The 3,872-nt window shown below is 33.3% G+C and overlaps 1 long non-coding RNA gene across 1 annotated transcript; it reads left to right on the top strand.

Annotated features, from left to right (window-relative positions):
• Positions 1-896: 896 nt before the first annotated feature.
• LOC107985700 (uncharacterized) lies at positions 897-2,928 on the top strand. The gene is made up of 3 exons (XR_001755913.1): positions 897-932; positions 1,219-1,322; positions 2,682-2,928. It is a non-coding gene; the product is annotated as an uncharacterized LOC107985700 (long non-coding RNA).
• The last annotated feature ends 944 nt before the right edge of the window (positions 2,929-3,872 follow it).

The raw sequence follows: 3,872 nt of genomic DNA, 5'->3' as shown, positions 1-3,872 counted from the left end.
AAGTAACATCTCTTGCCTTTCTATAAATTAGCATATTGTGAAGTTTTTATTAAAGGTAAACGTCCTTGTAAAGACAAGTGTGCAATTGAACACTCGTGAGACTTCTGAGTACACTCCTTTCATAGACTCCATAATATAGAAATTGAAAAGGATATGAAAGGATATGGTTCTCTTACCTTAGAGGTGAAGAAAACAAGGTCTATATTAAACAAAGTTTTTCCAAGATGTACATTTACTAGCAGAGCTAGGAGTCAATTCTAGGCCTAACTGCTTCTCGAGTGCTCTTTCCACTGCCCTGCAGCTGCACGTTGCCTTTTATTGAAGTTACTATTAGAAATCTGACCCCAATTAATTAACTTGACAATAATAAGTATTCATGGTTTAGAAATTACCAAGTTTAATATTTAGTAATATTAATTATGCAAATATCCACAAACAGTACTTTGAAGAAAGGGTAGTGTGATGGATGGTTAATATTGAGTGTCAACTTGATTGAATTGAAGGATGCAAAGGATTGTTCCTGGGTGTGTCTGTGAGGGTGCTGCCAAAAGAGATTAACATTTGAGTAAGTGGACTGGGAGAGGCAGACCCACCCTCAATCTGGGTGTGCACCGTGTGATCAGCTGCCAGCATGGCTAGAATTAAGCAGGCAGAAGAAATTGGAAGGAGCCGATTTGCTGAGTCTTCTGGCATTCATCTTTTCCCCATGCTGGATGCTTCCTGCCCTAGAACATCAGACTCCAGGTTCTTCAGTTTTTAGACTTTTGGACTTAACCAGTATTTTCCAGGGGCTCCAGGGCCTTTGGCCACAGACTGAAGGCGGCACTATCAGCTTCCCTACTTTTGAGGTTTTGGGACTCAGACTGATCCACCACTGGCTTCCTTGCTCCTCAACTTGCAGACAGCCTATTGTGAGACTTTACCTCGTGACTGTGAGTCAATTCTCTTTAATAAACTCCCTTTCATATATAAATATATCTTCTTAGTTCTGTGCCTCTAGAGAACCTTGACTAATACAGGTAGATATTCAATAAAGATTTTCTAGTGAGGCTGTAAATTATATGTAAAAAGGGTGGTTACAACAATTTAATGGAATATTACTTTTTCCTGTCTATATTATTTTGCTGGTAGGTAGGAAAAACTTGGCCAAGTATCTAGGCAAACATCCCAAGTTTTAAACAATGTTTTTATTCTACTTTTTTACTTGCTCACCCACAGAAGTGTTAAGCCAAACAGATTCTATGGCTTCCACACAAATGAGTAAGTGATGAAGTTTATGTACATGAACATTGCCGGTGCTGATGATCTTCCAAGAATCTAAGGTAAACCATCTTGTATAAATAGTCAAATTCCAGTAAATTCTAGTATTCTGCTCTCAAATGAAAATAATGATTGGTTGTCTCATAACATTTATTAGTATAATTTTATGTCCATCAGTTTTACTTAAGTCGCTAGATTTGAAAACAACTTACTAAATTATACTTTAGCTAAAATTCATTGGCACGAATAAACATGAGTTATTTTCACTGTTTTTAAATTTCTGAGACTGTTGCTAAACAGGTAATAAACAGTTTTCTACCTAATTAAAAATTAAAATCTTAGGTCTTATTCAGCTCTAGAATAGTTTTAGGCAGAATAGCATAACATACTGTTATATGAGTTTTTTTTTTTTAATTCTGATAGTTAACTAATTGTTTCCCTAGAGTATAAAATTCATCAAGATTTCAAGAATGCCTAGCTTTAAGGTTTTAATTCTTAGAGTACAAAAATTCAGAATATTATAATTTTTTAATGAGATTTTTACATAATACTATGGGCCCTCGTCTTGTTTGATATTATTGCTTGTCTCCAACTGTTTCTTTAAAAAACGGAAAACAGCAAGTAAAATAACCAAATTTGGTATTTGTTAACAACCAGATCATCTGAAACCTGGATTTCTCTACTTAATTTTTACTAATATTACTGTCAGAGTAACACAGTTTCTAACTTTGAAGATTCAGATGGTAAACAGGATTTTTTAAAATGCAAGGATGTCAGGCTTATTTCCTAAAAATAGCCATATGGAATACAATATAAATTCTAGGTTTTGAAGCTGTTTCTATGACACACATATTACTGATAGCTTTTATTATAATTTATAGCATCACACTGATGTCACATTGTTTTCTAAATGTCTTGCAGATTTCAATGTGTGAGAGACTAATTTGTTAACTGTTCTGTCTTGGGTTTGAGTTTTTGTTTTTTATGAGTTTAAAAAATACCAACTTATGATAGAGCAGAGACTAAAGAAAACAAACAAAAAAGAAAATACTCAGAGTTTAACTTCTCTATTTTACTGTCAGTCTCTAACCTACAGCATTTTGAAGTTAATGGCAATGATGACTGGGGAAAATGTGCACAGAGAGAATTACCACATAAACTTATACCTGTTTCAAATTGTAGGTAGTACAACTATGCCTTTAAGAGTTACTTCTTTGTGTACCTCTCAGAACACCATTATTGAGCAAATGACATTAGAAAATACAATTAGGAAAGAAATAATATAGATACTAATCATAAAATTAATATTATCTAAGGAGTTTTTTAAAAGTTGATAGAAACTTGGTTATAGTGTTTCAACTTAAAATGGTATATTAAATAGTATCAAACAATATTTTTTCATTTACTCATTCTTCTGACAGGCATTTAAGGAATGCTAATGTCATTTGGGAACTGCAAATCGAAACCATAAATATATACCAATTTACCTCCACTATGATGGCTAGAATGAAAAGGATAGATGGTAACAAGTGTTGACAAGGATGGCAGAAAGTAAAACCCTCATGCGCTGATGGTGAAAACGTAAAGTTGTGCAGCCAGTCCAGAAAAAATTCTGTAAGTTCCTCAAAAAATTTAACATAGAGTTATGTTATGACCAAGAAATGAAAATGAAAATATTCTGTCCACACAAAAAGTTTTACATGAATGCTTATACCAGTATTACTCATAATAATAAAAAGGAGAAACCACTCAAATATCTACTGATGAATGAATGGACAAACAAAATGTGGTAAAGCCATAGAATACCATATTGCTCAGCCACAAAAATGAAATAAATTACTGATACATGCTACAGCGTGAATAAACCGTGAAAACATTATAATAAGTGAAAGAAACCAGTCAGAAATGCCCACATACTGTAGGTTTCATATGTAAGAAATATCCAGAATAGGCAAATCTATAAGACAAAAAGTACATTCATGGTTGCCAAGGGCTGGGATGAGGGGAAAATGGAAAATGACTGCTAATGGGTATGGGTATGGGTTTTCTTTCCATGGTGATGAAAATATTGTAGATTAGATAAAGGTAATTATTACATAAATCCATAAATATGCTGAAATGACTGAATTGTAACTTTAAAGTGTGAGCTTTTGGTATGTGAATTATATCTCAGTAAAGATATTTTTTAAAAAGATTCTTATTACATATAGTATAATGCATTTAAATGCAAGATAACCAAAACAGAAATCAAAAGGAAAAAAAGCCCTCATAATCTAGAAAGGAAGTAACTTGGGAAAATATCCCAGTGGCCCTGGTAAGAAGTAGAAGAAAATGGTGGGATTAGGCCTAAAGTGAAGATGACAGGGATAAAGAGAAAGCTATAGGTTTGAGAAATTAACTAGAGACATAGAACCAATAGGAATTGGTGGAACATTGGATATAAGGATAAAAGAAGGAAGGGAGAAACAATATTTTAATTTGTTACAAAAAGTATCATTATTTCATTTACATGACATGTGGAATACAGGAAGAGGAGGCTTCTAGGAAAAGAAAGGCAATTTAGTTTTGGACAATGAATTTAAAGATGTCTATAGAATGCCATCCACTACAAG

Source organism: Homo sapiens, chromosome X (assembly GCF_000001405.40).
Source record: "Homo sapiens chromosome X, GRCh38.p14 Primary Assembly".
NCBI lineage: Eukaryota > Metazoa > Chordata > Mammalia > Primates > Hominidae > Homo > Homo sapiens.
The sequence above is the reverse complement of the archived record's forward strand: the minus strand, read 5'-3'. Positions and strand labels throughout refer to the sequence as shown.